We start from the raw sequence: 14,431 nt of genomic DNA on the forward strand, positions 1-14,431 counted from the left end.
CCTCACTTCACCCCTAGCCCCCACAGCCTGAGGACCCTGCGCCACCCTTGGGAGTGACTGCCAGAGGCCACAGGTGGCTTTGTACTGGCTGGCCTCTCCTCCCCTCAGCTCTGCGGCGCCTGATGCTGGATGCAGGTTCCTCTAGTGTGGGTTCTGCCACAGGCTCCATGTGGCCTCCCTCTCCAGGGCCCTTTTCCATCTCCTCCTTTTGTTCCTCATTCCCCTCCTGCCCACTGAAGGGGGCTTCTCCTAGGGTCCATCCTTAGGCCTCTCACCCACCTTCTTTCCAAATGACAACTAACCACTCAGACCCCCCAGCTCTAGCTCCACCCAGACCTGCAGAATGCCTCCATCTCTCTCATCCAGCCACTGCATTGTCTAGTCTTCTTACAAAACACCTCCTCCTGGGTGTCTGCCAGGGTTTTAGACTAGTTCTGTCCCAAACTGAACTCCCAAACCTCTGACCCATCCCCTTAGGCTATGTAGTAAGATGAAGCACTTCACTATGGCATTTGGGACCCTCTCAGTCAGGGCTCCTATGTCCCCTCTCCTTTCCCTTTGAGGCTGACGTCTGCAATCATCTATTGTGATTGTGACACTGCTATCGTCTGTCCTGCCCACTGTCCCCTCTGCCCACTGTGTCACCTGCTGAGCTGCTGTGGGTGCTCTGTGTGCCAGCCTACTGGCCTCCCTTCCTCCTGCAGCTTCTGTGAGCCACTCCAGGGCGGAGACCATACCCTGGTCAGCACGGGTCCTCAGAGCCCAGCCCAGCCTGGTGCCGAGGTGCCCAGGGGTGTTTGTTGTAAAAGCGTGGTCTGTAAAGCACATGATGGGCCCATTAATTAAGTGGCACTACCCTTAGCAGACTCAGGCAGGGGAGGAAGATGAGGGCCTGGTAATGGAGTATTTAGAAGTTATAATTAAGTTTGCACTGGCGCCTGAGCATAACACGATATATGAGACAATATAAAAGGGGTCCAAGGATTTAGTGAAATAGAACTAGGTCTTTTGCAAGTAAACCCTTAATTAAAATCCATGAGGGAGGAAGGGGGAGAAAGGGAAATGGAGAATTTACGTCAAGGCAGTTTCTTTGGTTCTTGCCTCATTTGCCACTGCATGGAAGGTCTGAGGCTGCAGGGGGTTTGCCTGGAAATGGGCCACACACAATCGTTTTGCCTCTTTGTGATTTAATCCCAGGGCGCCTGCCGGCGGAATGGGCACCTTCTCTGTTCAAGGTTCCAAGTGGAGGTCGGGGGCTTCAGAAAGGAGCAGGTGGGGCCTCGCCCTCCCCTTGCAGGAGCAGGAGGCAGCTCACAGGCATGGTAATTAGGATCATGTGTGGGAAACAAGTACTTTCTGGTGCAAGCTGGTGGTTGACCCCCCTCCACGCCCCTCTCATAATTTGTCTGTCCTTTCCAGTCTACTCTCTGGCCTCCTCTCTTCTACTTGGGGGTGCGGAAACCAACCTTGGATGCGGATGGGAAGGTCCCCATCCCAGAGTTCATGGCTGTCTGTCCCCTGCAGCTTGTGCAAGTCCCTGCTTTTGTTTCTTTATTTTTCCCCTCCCTTCTTCCCACCTCCCCACCCAATGAACAGCATGCACAAGCTCCCTCCTTCTCTCCCATGCTCCTTCCTGCCTGGGTGCACCTCGCTCTTCCTCCCTTTCCTGACTTGAGCACTGCAAGATCCTGCCCCGTGGCTGCCCCTTCTGACTGCTGCAGAGTGTGCTGGGTGGGCATCCCCCGTAATAGATCAGGACCTAAAGCTAGTACCTGGGCACCCGCCCCTGTGCGGGGCTGCTCCTGCCTCCGGGAGGTGGAGCTGTTCTCTATGCATGGAGGGTGCGGTCGGGTGGGACTGGAGTCTTCCTGGGAATGGGGTGCCAAGCTCTGCAGGGGCAGTCCATCAGGCCTCATGCTGGCTCTGTCAGGACTGGCAGCCTCTCCCCAGTGCAGGGCACCAAGCACTGGAGGTCAGGGATGTGGGGCCACTTCTGATTCTGCCCTCATCAGCCAGCTGGCCTCCCTTCTCCCTCATGGAGCGTCCACCTCAATCAGATGAGACCGTGTGTGCACCCTGTGTGAACTCAGCCCCTCCTGGCACTTAGGGCCCTGCCGGTTCACGTACCTCCCAGTGTCAGAGCCCCCAGCATGGGTTAGTAGATCTCTCGCCTCTCCCGCGGGGCTGTGACTGCTGGGGACCAGGGCAGGGGTCTACGTGCATCTCAGTCAACACAGCGTGAGGGGCTACTGTGTTCACTGCTTTGGTGCTGGAGATTCAGTGATGGATGGCACAGGATTGTCCCTGCCTGGGTGGCCTGAGGTTGAATGCAGTCATAGGTGGTAAATAGCAAGCAGAGTGAAGAGAATTGATCAATGCACAGGGTAGGCTGGTGGTGACTGGAGTGGAAAGCTCCTTGACATAAGATGGCTGGGGAAGGCCCCCCTGGGAGGGTCATGCACGGAGAAGGACCCAGCTCTGAATTCCTGCTGCACAGTGGAGGCCTGTGGGCCTGATCCTGGTGATCCTGGGCCGCTGACCAGCTGGGACGAGGGCATGGATTTTATTCTAGAGGCCACTGGGGGGCTTAGGCAGGGAGGACAAGGTCTGATTCGGGTTTCTGAAGGACCCTTCTGGGTGGAGCCTGACTGTAGCAGGCAGGAGAGGACGCCAGGGTACCAGGAGAGGCTGGTGCAGGTGTCTGCGAGAGGCCAGGGTAGCTCAGGCTGGACCTGGAGGTGGCCCAGGGAGAGTGCAGTAGAGGCTTGGCTCTGGTTTGGAAGTGGAATCAACAGAATTTGCTGGTGGGGTATGAAGTTAGGGGCGAGGGAGATGGCTGACCTGGTATACTTAGGGCCTGGCAGCCTGGCATGAGGTGGGCATTTGACAAATATTTGTTAAAGGAATGAGGAAAGAGAAGACAAATTTTATGATGTGATCACTTTGATAAAAAAAAAGTCCAACCAACTTTTTTTTTTTAAAGAGCTAACAAGAATTCTCTCTGAAAGTGTACAGCAGACTTAAAATGGATTCTGTTGCTACGGCCTGATTCAGACATTTCCAGACACACATTGTTATTCTTGCAAAGACTTGAGATTGAATATTTTAAAAATAATTTTACTTTTAAACTCTGGAGCCTCTTGTCACCTCCGGCACTCTCTGATGGGGCGCTGTTGGTGTCCAGGGATTTTGGTTGCGTACGCACATGGCCAGTGTGATTGATAAACTGAGTGACCACCTGGAGAGTGAGATCAAGGCTCAGAAGAAAAATGGATGGCTTGTGCAGCAGAGGTTTGATCTTCATTTAAAAAATTAATTTTCTATATTCTTCATCAAAAAAATTCCTCACAAGCCATGCTGTGTTGTAGGGGCTAAAAGGAAGAAAATTAACTTCTAAGAAAGATGAAAAATCTAGAATTCTAAGTTGTAGTCAAGTGATTTTGGCCAGCCATAATTACAGTATTTTCATGTTAATGTATAAACCCCTTGAAAGGTATGCTTAAGTGATAATTATCTATTTACAACAAAATGGCTTTGGAAATGAAATGAGACCCACTGGGGTGTGTGTGTGTGTGTGTGTGTGTGTGTGTGTGTGTGTGTGTATCAAACATGTTATGCAGTGGTGTTTTTTTCTTTCTATCTATCTTTTTTTTTTTTTTTTTTTTGAGATGGAGTCTTGCCCTGTCACCCAGGCTAGAGTGCAACGGCGCGATCTCAGCTCACTGCAACCTCCCCCTCCCGGGTTCAAATGATTCTCCTGCCTCAGCCTCCCGAGTAGCTGGGATTACAGGAGCCAGCCACCATGCCTAATTTTTGTATTTTTTGTGGAAACGGGGTTTCACCATGTTGGCCATGCTGGTCTTGAACTCCTGAACTCAGGTGGCCCACCTGCCTTGGCCTACCAAAGTGTTGGGATTATAGGCATAGGCCACCATGCCTGGCCCTTTATTTCTTTATTTTTTTTGAAGACCATTATCCTAAGTATCTCTGCCTTAAAATTAAAAACTTAAAAAAAAAATCTAAGCAGGGTAGAGAGATTCATTTCTCTGAAAGTCCTGGACTGTCTGAAAGTTCTTGTGTGGCTTAATTTTGTGTAGTTTGTTATTCATTTGGATTTTTTGTTTGCTTGTTTATATCTCATTTTGTGTCAAAGAGTTGGAGATAGTTTATAAAAATGACAAAAATAGTAAAATGGGTAGAATATTGATGATAAATTAAAAGCCAGGGTTGAAAAAAAAGTTAGAGTAGCTCAGACGGAGGGCCTAGAATTCCAGTACCCAGTGCTATGTGGGCTGTAAGTGGTTAACTAGGGTCTGAGCTTCCTGGGGGCCAAAGTGAAGAAGGTAATTTGATTAATGGCCCTGATTATTGGGAGATGTGCCAGCTCCTCTGATGGGTCCTCTGTAGCATGTTTGACATCCATCTCATTCCACTGGGAGTAACTTGAAGGCCTATTCCTGTGCCCTCCTTATTTCTGTGTGGAAGGACCTTGGTAAAGGCTTTTGTATTTGGATAATAACAACAAATATTTATTTAGTTACCTGGTGTATAAAACATGCCCATTTCTGTCATTCATTTTGTGCTTTCTATCCCCCCCACCTCCGCCTTCTTTTGGATTGATTGATTGAAGTTTCTTTTTTTCGCCTCTACTGGTTTGGAAATTTTGTATTCTTTTTTGATTTGTTTAGTAGTTACTCATAAATTTTTAACGTGTGTATCAGACTTAACACAGCCTAAAATTAATCAACATCTCCATTCCTCCCTGAAGAACCTGAGGACACACGTACCCTGCCCCCTCTTGCTGCCATCTTATCTATATCTTTGCTGTCTGATGTTTCCTTTTTTTTTTTTTTTTTTTGCAGACAGGATCTCACTCTGTTGCCCAGTCTGGAGTGCGGTGGCACAATCATTGCTTACTGCAGCCTTGACCTCCTGGGCTTAAGCAACCCTCCCGTCTTAGTCCCCCACCTCACCCCGAGTAGCTGGGACTACAGGCATGCACCACCATGCCTGGCTAATTTTTGTATTTTTTTAGAGATGGGGTTTTACCATTTTGCCCAGGCTGGTCTCGAACTCCTGGGCTCAGGCAATCTGCCTACCTCGGCCTCCCAAAGTGCTGGGATTACAGGCATGAGCCACTGTGCCTAGCCTGGTGTTTACATTTTCTTTTTTTTTTTTTTTGAGACAGGGTCCTAGGCTGGAGTGCAGTGGTGTGATCATGGCGCACTGCAGCCTCAACCTCCTGGGATCAGGTGATTCTCCCGCCTTAGCCCCCCTAGTAGCTGGGACTACAGGCATGCACCACGACACCCGGCTGATTTTTCTATTTTTTGTAGAGACGGGGTTTCACCATGTTGCCCAGGCTGGTCTCGAACTCCTGGGCTCAAGCGATCTGCCTGCCTTGGCCTCCCAAAGTGCTGGGATTACAGGCATGAGTCACTGCACCCAGCCTGGTGTTTACTTTTAATGCATTTTTAACTCTGCCTCAAACTAGTCATAGTTATTAGTATTTGTTTTCCAGGTTGCACTTGATTATTTACTCAACAGATGTTTCCTGAGCACATTTTCTGCACTGGGCGTGATTCTAGGCACTGGGGATGCAGCAGTGAACAAAACTAGTTCCTGCCTTTGTGAGTCAGGGGAGAAGACAGGCTGTGGATAAACAGCTGTCATATGATGGGGGTGTTCAGGCTGAGGGGACATGAAGGGATGGGGAAGGGCCGGACCCTCTGCTGAGGGGATGTTTGCATGAAGATCTGAATGGAGGCAGCCAGCCGTGCCCATGTCTGGGCAGAGGCAGCAACTCTGAGTTGGGGGTGTTGACGGCACATGGGAAGATGTGGCTGGAACCCCACGGAGAGTCTGAGCAAGTGAGTGGAAGAAACTGAGTCCAGATGGGGGATGGGACCCAGTAGGGAAGCTTGGGGGGCTTCATGCAGGAGGTGGCAAGTGAGGCGGCCTGGGCATTTGGGCAGTGCTTGGACACATGAAGTATGAGCACAGGCCTTCCAGCTCAAGGGTTGAGGCTAACCTAGGGCGCAAGGCTGAAGCTGCTACTTGCCTTTGGTTTGCAATCATTCATTCACTCAACAAACATTTGTGGCACCTCTGTGTTGTTCTACACCCTGTGCCAGACACCAGAGATACCGTGGGCAGCAAATCAAGCAAGACTTCCACTTGAGAGCCACACAAACAAGAAAACACCATGAACGATGGAGACAGGACAGGGGGAAGTGGTAGCCGGGGACCAAGTTGGACCATGTAGGCTTAACTTGCAGCTCACCTGCCTCCCAGTTGTGAGACGGAGGGCAGGTGACTTTCCTGTGTAATGGAGGGTGGCGGTGCCTTCCTCCCCCCTGCTGGTGGTTCTGCGGATGAGAGAGGATGTATGCCAAGCGTGCAGTCTGGGGCTGTGCCAGGTTCCCTCGTGTGAGTCTTCCTCTTCCTGTGCCGCTTCTCTCCAGCTCATTCAAGGCTGTGGACCCTTTGGGGAGAAATTGCTGGTTGGTTGTTCAGAAGTTGGTGGAAGCAAGATTTTCTTACTGACATGCTTTTTCTCTCTTTTCACAAACATGGAGAGAGGTGTTTGGATATGAAACAAGCCTGTAGATTTTTTAAAATGTCATTTTCATACAGGATTTTATTCCAGAACAGGAATAATGAACAAGCCAGAAAATCCTGGCCAGCACAGAATTAAAATACTGTGTCCCCGCGTGCACATAAACTTCTGAAATGTCTGGAAGTTTCCACCATCTCCCTGTCTATGCAACCTGCCCCTGCCTGCCTGCCTCCTGCACCTGCACTCAGCATAAACGTTGTCAGAAGCCCGGGGACTAGTTCCATTTGGAGAATACGATCGCCACTTAGAGAGAGTGGAAACCAGCAGGTGCTGTTATTGTTCATGTAGAGGGGCGTCTCCCCTCCTGGTCTCTCCTTTATCCTCACGACTGGCCTATCTCACACTTCAGTGCTCAAGTGCAGATTACATAGGTCTCGGGAGGGCATGACATTCTGCATTTCTAATGAGCTCCCAGGGTATGCCCCTTCTCTGTTCTCCCGAGGACTCTTGGGGAGCACACTTATATATATATATATTTATATTTTTATATAAATATAAAAATATTTTATATATGTAAATATTATATATATATATATATATATATATTTTTTTTTTTTTTAGACAAAGTCTCGCCCTGTTGCCCAGGCTGGAGTGCAGTGGTGCGATCTCGGCTCACTACAACCTCTGCCTCCCGGGTTCAAGCAATTCTCCTGCCTCAGCCTCCCAAGTAGCTGGGATTACAGGCACCCACCACCACGCCTGGCTAATTTTTGTATTTTTAATTTTTGTATTTAGAGGCAGGGTTTCACCATGTTGGTGAGGCTGGTCTTGAACTCTTGACCTCAAGTGATCCACCTGCCTTGGCCTCCCAAAGTGCTGGGATTACAGGCGTAAGCCACTGCGCCCATCCTGGGAATCACACTTTGAGTAACAGGGCCTGACACCAGCATTGTGCAACTTCCTGAGAGAGTGGAGAAGCTGTATATCTGTGCTGTCCAGTGTGGTAACCACGAGCCCCCATGTGGGTATGGAGCACTCAAAATTCAGTTAGTGTGACTGAGAAACTGACTTTTGTATTTTTATTTCATTGTAGCTGATTTGAAATTAAATGTCCACAGGGAGTTCATGGCTGCTGCATTGGACCACACATCTAGACATCCCTGGAGGTGTCTGCTGTTGCTGTCTCTGCTTTGCAGGTGCAAAAGCTGAGCTCAGCGGGGAGAAATCTTGTCTAAGGTCATACGGCAAAGAAAAGTGGAGTCAGGATTCCAACCCAAGGTCTAGGCTCTTTTAAAATCTTTTTATTTATTTATTTATTTATTTATTTATTTATTTATTTATTGAGACAGAGTCTCGCTCTGTCACCCAGGCTGGAGTGCAGTGGCATGATCTTAGCTCACTGCAACCTCTGCCTCCAGGGTTCAAGTGATTCTCCTGCCTCAGCCTCTTGAGTAGCTGGGATTACAGGCACCTGCCACCATGCTCAGCTAATTTTTGTATTTTTAGTAGGGACGGGGTTTCACCATGTTGGCCAAGCTGGTCTCGAACTCCTGACCTCAAGTGATCCACCTTGGGCTCCCGAAGTGCTGGGATTACAGGCGTGAGCCACCAGCCCTACATTTTTTATTTGTTTTTAATAGCTAAGGAGACCTTTTGTATATGGGAACTACTCTTGTGTATCTGGAAAATCCCCTGCCAGCCCCTGACTCTTTTTTTTTAGGCAAATTCTTCGTTTCCAAGACGGTTTTGATATTTATGGTCAGCAGTAAAGCTTTATAGGCTTAGGACTAACTAAAAAAAAGTCCTGTGTCAGCTGCTGATGGGATACAGGGATTTTTACATCCTACGTTTCATATTCGAAATACACGTTTTGCTGCAAAGCCTCGTATCCAAGTCACACGGGGGCTTAACAGCAATAATGACTTCTGGACAGAAGTTTACAGTTTACAGGCACTTTCACGTTGTTTTCTCACGATCCCTTGCAACAGATATCCTGGGCCCTGAGTATATTGTCCCCACTTGACAGATGAGGAGACTGAGGCCCAGTGCGGAGAGGTGGTTTCTGGAGGTCACGCAGGTCTCCAGGGCAGGGATCTGGATCGTCAGGTACACCGCCATATCTTCAGCACCACGGACAGTGCCAACCCCCCCCGCCCCCCCTCCAAGTAGGCTCTCAGTGTTGTTATTGGCTAAGTCAAGGAATGCACTCATCCCCTTATCCTATGGCCCTGAGTTCCAGATGTGGGCCCTGTGTGTGCCCTGGCAGACTGTGGATATGCTAGACCTCCGCCTGCCTCGATCCCCTGCTCGGCCCCATCCCCGCACCCTGGAACTCTTCCACCTGCCACCCAGCGAGGGAGGGAGTTGGGTGCCGAGGGCCACACACATGCATCAGGGGGACATGGTTGAGAGCTCAGACTCTGAACTGAAACCAGAGCTGGGCCACCTTGCCTCCTCGATGTGTGACCTTGGGCAGGTGACTTAGCCTCCCTGGACCTCAGTTTTATCATTTGGAAAATGGGGAAGTAACGGGATGTTTCTCACAGGGCCTTGGTGAGACCCGAACAAGATAATGCAGGTGAAGTGCAAGTTCCAGGCGATGCAGCATAAACTCTTCATTATTTCCATCCCTCCTGAGCGAGGTGGATTCTAGAAGCAGAAAGGCAGTGGAGGCAGCTGGAGAGATGGGGCTGCAGAATGGGCGGGCCCAGCCGGGTGGCGGTGGTTTGTAGAGCCAGGGACACCAGCAGGTACCATGGGGAGGAGGCATGCATGCAGGGCGTAGCGCCCCAACCCTTGTCCTCGGTGGGACCAGCCCCATTCTTCTCACGTGTCAGTGACCTCCCTCCCACTCAGTGTTCTCTGTGGCTTCTGGAGCCTTCCCCATTGCAGGGCTTATCTGGGTTTCAGAGGGAGCCATGATGTGGTCATGTCCGTGGACCTGGGCTAGTTTAATTCCTGAATGAGACAGGGGCCAGGGGAAAGGAATGGGCAGGCCCCCTCCCGGTCCTGCCTGGCCACATGCCTGCTGGGCAGCCCTGAGAAGGTCATCACTCCCCTGTGCCTCAGTGTCTTCACCTAAAAAATGGGGCGACACACTTGCTTTGGAGGGCTGTTGTGAGGATTGAATAAGGCATTGCAGCTGGGATTCTGCTTAGCCTCGTGGGTCCTGAGAGACCTCTCGAGTTTGGATCCTGGCTCTGCTCTTCCCAGCCATATGGCCTTGGGCATGTTCTGTCTGCTCTCTGAGCCTCAGTTTTCTCATCTATCAAAGGGAGCTGATATTGGGAGAGTTCAGTGAGGCAGCGGGTGATCTGGGCTCATCATAGGGCCTGGCATGGGGTAAATGCATAACACAGGCAGCCATTGCTCTGGTGGTGGTTTTGTGAACACATCTAAATCTAAAATGCCTGGCATAGAGTAGATGGCTCAGTTGATGGTAGACTTTTTTTTTCTTTCTTTTTTGAGTCAGAGTTTCGTTCTTGCTGCCTAGGCTGGAGTGCAATGGTGCCATCTTGGCTCACCACAACCTCTGCCTCCCGGGTTCAGACGATTCTCCTGCCTCAGCCTCCCGAGTAGCTGGGATTACAAGCATGTGCCACCACGCCTAGCTAATTTTATAATTTTAGTAGAGATGGGGTTTCTCCATGTTGGTCAGGCTGGTCTCGAACTCCCAACCTCAGGTGATCTGCCCACCTTGGCCTACCAAAGTGCTGGGATTACAGGTGTGAGCCACTGCATCTGGCTTTTTTTTTTTTTTTTGATGGAGTCTTGCTGGAGTACAGTGGGGCCATCTCGGTTCGCTGCAACCTCAGCCTCCCAGGTTCAAGCGATCCTCCTGCGTCAGCCTCCTGAGTAGCTGGGACTACAGGCGTGCGCCACCACACCCAGTTAATTTTTGTATTTTTAATAGAGACTGGGTTTCACGATGTTGGCCAGGATGGTCTCAATCTCTTGACCTCGTGATCCACCCGCCTCGGCCTCTCAAAATGCTGCAATTACCGGTGTGAGCCGCTGCGCCCAGCTGGTGGTAGCTTTAATTACTACTATTAATATCATCCAAAGAGGACTTCCGCTTTTTAAAATCGTGCATTTAAAAGTTAGAATTTAGTTCTTTGAAATTTGTTTTTAAAAGAAAAGCGGATTTTAAAAAGTGTATAGGTTTGTTTCTTTGATCTCTCTTAAGAAGAAGGATTTCACACCTTTCGGAGTGTGCACGATGCAAATGAAGATCCGAGAGCTCGCGGAAGGCCGTTTGGAGCTAATTCTGGGCTGGTTTGACAGCCACGACACTGAAGGGGAAGCATCGAGCTGACAAAGCGAGGCTTTCTTTGGTAACATCCCAACCTCTCAAAATAGTCACTTTCCAAACTAACATTTGTCATGTTGGTGTTTGAAAGAAGTTTTTTGCTCATTGATCCAACCATGCGCCGCACCCCCTTAAAACTCTGCAGAGGTTTCCCTCCTGTGTCCCGGGTGAGTCCAGGCACTGCTCCTGTGGTCAAGGCCTCTGGCGGGGACCCCATGGTCCCTACTAGGCCTGGCTCCACCCCTCCCCTTTGTCTGTCCGAGGCTTCGGGGCAGTTGTCACATTGTTGGAGGTTTTCCCGCCTCCATGCCTTTCTTGTGTGGGCTGCTCCTGCCGGAGTGCCAATCCTGACTGCCTAGGGAGCTGCTGTCCACTATGGATACCTGTTTCTGTAGTTTCTGTGATCACCTCCCTATATTTTTCTTTTTTTCTTTCTTTTTTTTTTTTTGAAATGGAGTCTTGCTCTGTTGCCCAGGCTGGAGTGCAGTGGCATGATCTCGGCTCACTGCAACCTCTGCCTCCCAGGTTCAAGCGATTCTCCTGCCTCAGCCTCCCTGGTAGCTGGGATTACAGGCGTGAGCCATCATGCTTGGCTAATTTTTGTATTTTTAGTAGAGATGGGGTTTCACCATATTGGCCAGGCTGGTCTCAAACTCCTTTAGGTGATCTGCCTGCCTCAGCCTCCCAAAGTGCTGGGATTACAGGTGTGAGCCAATGCGCCCAGCTGATCACCCCCTTTTATCAATCTTGTGGAACCTCTCATACTCCTGGCCAGGGAAAGGAAACAGCACTGCTGCCTGTGGTTCTGTAAAACTCAATACTCTCCCCACTGCTGCTCCTCAGCTGCCTGTGTGTGTCTCCCTCCACAACCCTAGGCCACAGAGGAAGGGACTGTAGGGGGCCAGTCAGAACTTACTAGGGCCAAGAAAGAGAACTGGGGAATGGGGAAATGAATAAACAGAGGGGGGAAGATGATTTCATTTTAGTGTATCCTAACATTCAAAATGTTTATTTAGCCTTAAAACCCTTGGCTTTAGGAATAAATATTTTATTCTTTTTTGAGACAGAGTCTTGTTTTGTCACCCAGGCTGGAGTGCAGTGGCATGATCACGGCTCACTGAGCCTCGACTTCCCGGGCTTCAGCAATCTTCCCACGTCAGCTTCCCAAGTAGCTGGGACCACAGGCACATGCCACCACGCCTGGCTACTTTTTTTATTTTTTGTAGAGACGAGGTTTCCCTATGTTTCCCAGGCTGGTCTGAAACTCCTGGGCTCAAGCAGTCCTCCTTTGACCTCCCCAAGTGCCAAGATTAAGGGTGTGAGCTACCACACCTAGCCAGAAATATTTTAAAAACAGGAACTTTTAGTCTTACTTTTTTTTTTTTTGATTCTCGCTCTGTCACCTAGGCTGGAGTGCAGTGGCTCAATCTCGGCTCACTGCAAGCTCCGCCTCCTGGGTTCAAGTGATTCTCCTGCCTCAGCCTCCCGAGTAGCTGGGACTACAGGCACCCGCTACCACGCCCGGCTAATTTGTTGTATTTTTTAATAGAGACGGGGTTTCACGGTGTTAGCCAGGATGGTCTCGATCTCCTGACCTTGTGATCTGCCCACTTCGGCCTCCCAAAGTGCTGGGATTACAGGCATCAGCCACTGTGCCCGGCCAGTCTTACTCATTTTTAAATACTTATTTCAGTTACTACTGCAAAGAACATCGCTATGGGCCGTTTCCCCGCACCACCCCCCCTGCCCCTTTAAATGGGTTTTCTGTAGCCAGAAGACACCTTTTACTCAGTGACACAAGGGCCAGATATCTGGCCCTGAAGCCATGCCTTTAAAATCCAGGGTCTTTGGCCAAACCCAGCACAATCCTTGCTGGGAATTTCCTGGTGAGTTGGAACCAGGTATAGCCTTCCAGTCCTGCGGCTTCGTTGTGGGATTTTCTGATGATGATGGGGGTGTGGGGGATGAGGTGGGCCAGGACTCTAGATGACCATTTACTCTTCTTTCATCCCGAAACCCCGTTGACTTCTACAGTTCTAGAATTGTTTATTTCCAAGATGAGAATGATTGGCTTCCAGGATTCTAAGATTTTAAAAACTGCATTGCTAGAACTCTCAGAGCTCCAAGAGCCTACAATTCTGCCTGCTCACACTTCTAGTTGTCTAAGATCCAGGCTCCCCAGATTATTTATTTAAATTGTGGTGAAATATACATGACATTGATCATTTTAGTCTTTTAAAAGTGTATAGTTCAGTGGCATTAAGACCATTCACATTGTTGTACAAACATCACTGCCTTTCCTCTCTGGAACTTTTTTGTCTTCCCAAATGGAAATGATCCATTAAACAACTTCTTCCTCCCTCCTCTCCCCAGCCCCTGGCATCCACCATTCTACTTTCTTTTTTAAAATTTAAATATTTATTTATTTATTTCTTTATTGAGACAGAGTTTCGCTCTGTCGCCCAGGCTGGAGTGCAGTGGTGCGATCTAGGCTCACTGCAGCCTCTGCCTCCCTGGTTCAAGCGATTCTCCTGCCTCAGCCTCCCAAGTAGCTGGGATTACCGGCACCCACCACCACGCCTGGCTAATTTTTGTATTTTTAGTAGAGAGGGGGTTTCACTGCGTTGGCCAGGCTGGTCTCGAACTCCTGACCTCAGGTGATCCGCCCTCCTTGGCCTCCCAAAGTACTGGGATTACAGGTATGAGCCACTGTACCCAGCCTATTTTCTTCTTTTTAGAGACAGGATCTCACTCTGTTGCCAAGGCTGGAGTGCAGTGGTGTTCTTGGTTCACTGCAGCCTTGATCTCCTGAGCTCAAGCAATCCTCCCACCTCAGCCTCCTGAGTAGCTGGGACTATAGGCATGTGCCACCATGCCCAGCTTATTTTTTGAATTTTTGTAGAGACAAGGTCTCACTATGTTTCCCAGGCTGGTCTTGAACTCCTGGCTTCAAGGGATCCTCCTGCTTTGGCCTCCCAAAATTCTTCATCTTAAAGGAACACCGGTACTATTAAGTTATAGGGCTCTATCATGGTTCACTGCAGCCTTAACTTTCCAGGCTCAGGTGATCCTCCCACCTCAGCCTCCTGAATAGCTGGGACTACTGGTGCACACCACCACACCTAGCTAATTTTTGTATTTTTAGTAGAGATGGGGTTTTGACACGTTGCTCAGGCTGGTCTCGAACTCATGACCTCAGGTGATATGCTTGCTTCAGCCTCCCAGAGTGCTGGGATTGAGACATATATTTCTGTTCTCTCACATCTTATGAAACATTTGTATTCAGATTCTTCAAGTGCATCTTCTGCATTGATACTGTGTTGGTTTGATAGGGCTTCCCTGACCATGTACCAGAGACTGGGAGGCTCAAACAGCAGAAGCCTATTGTCTCCCAGTTCTGGAGGCCAGAATCTGAGGTTGAGATATTAGCAGATTGGTTTCTTTTGAGGCCTCTCTCCTTGGCTTGCAGATGGCTGTCTTCTCACTGTGTCCTCATATGAGCTTCTCTGCCTCTCTGCCTTCATGTCCTTTTTTTTTTTTGAGACGAAGTCTTACTCTGTCAC

At 49.5% G+C, this 14,431-nt stretch overlaps 1 protein-coding gene across 2 annotated transcripts in view, besides 1 other annotated feature; it reads left to right on the top strand.

Annotated features, from left to right (window-relative positions):
- Positions 1-14,431, top strand: part of MPPED1 (metallophosphoesterase domain containing 1) — a 95,835-nt gene that overhangs the window by 28,706 nt on the left and 52,698 nt on the right. The gene's annotated exons all lie outside the window — the stretch shown is intronic.
- Positions 8,619-8,818: a silencer, noted in NCBI's record as "peak4505 fragment used in MPRA reporter construct". NCBI's record gives its function as "represses an SCP1 promoter by STARR-seq MPRAs in K562 erythroleukemia cells {active_cell/tissue: K562}" and the evidence as "EXISTENCE:reporter gene assay evidence [ECO:0000049][PMID:32103011]".

The sequence above is a fragment of the Homo sapiens genome, chromosome 22 (genome assembly GCF_000001405.40).
Source record: "Homo sapiens chromosome 22, GRCh38.p14 Primary Assembly".
In the NCBI taxonomy this organism is placed as follows: Eukaryota; Metazoa; Chordata; class Mammalia; order Primates; family Hominidae; genus Homo; species Homo sapiens.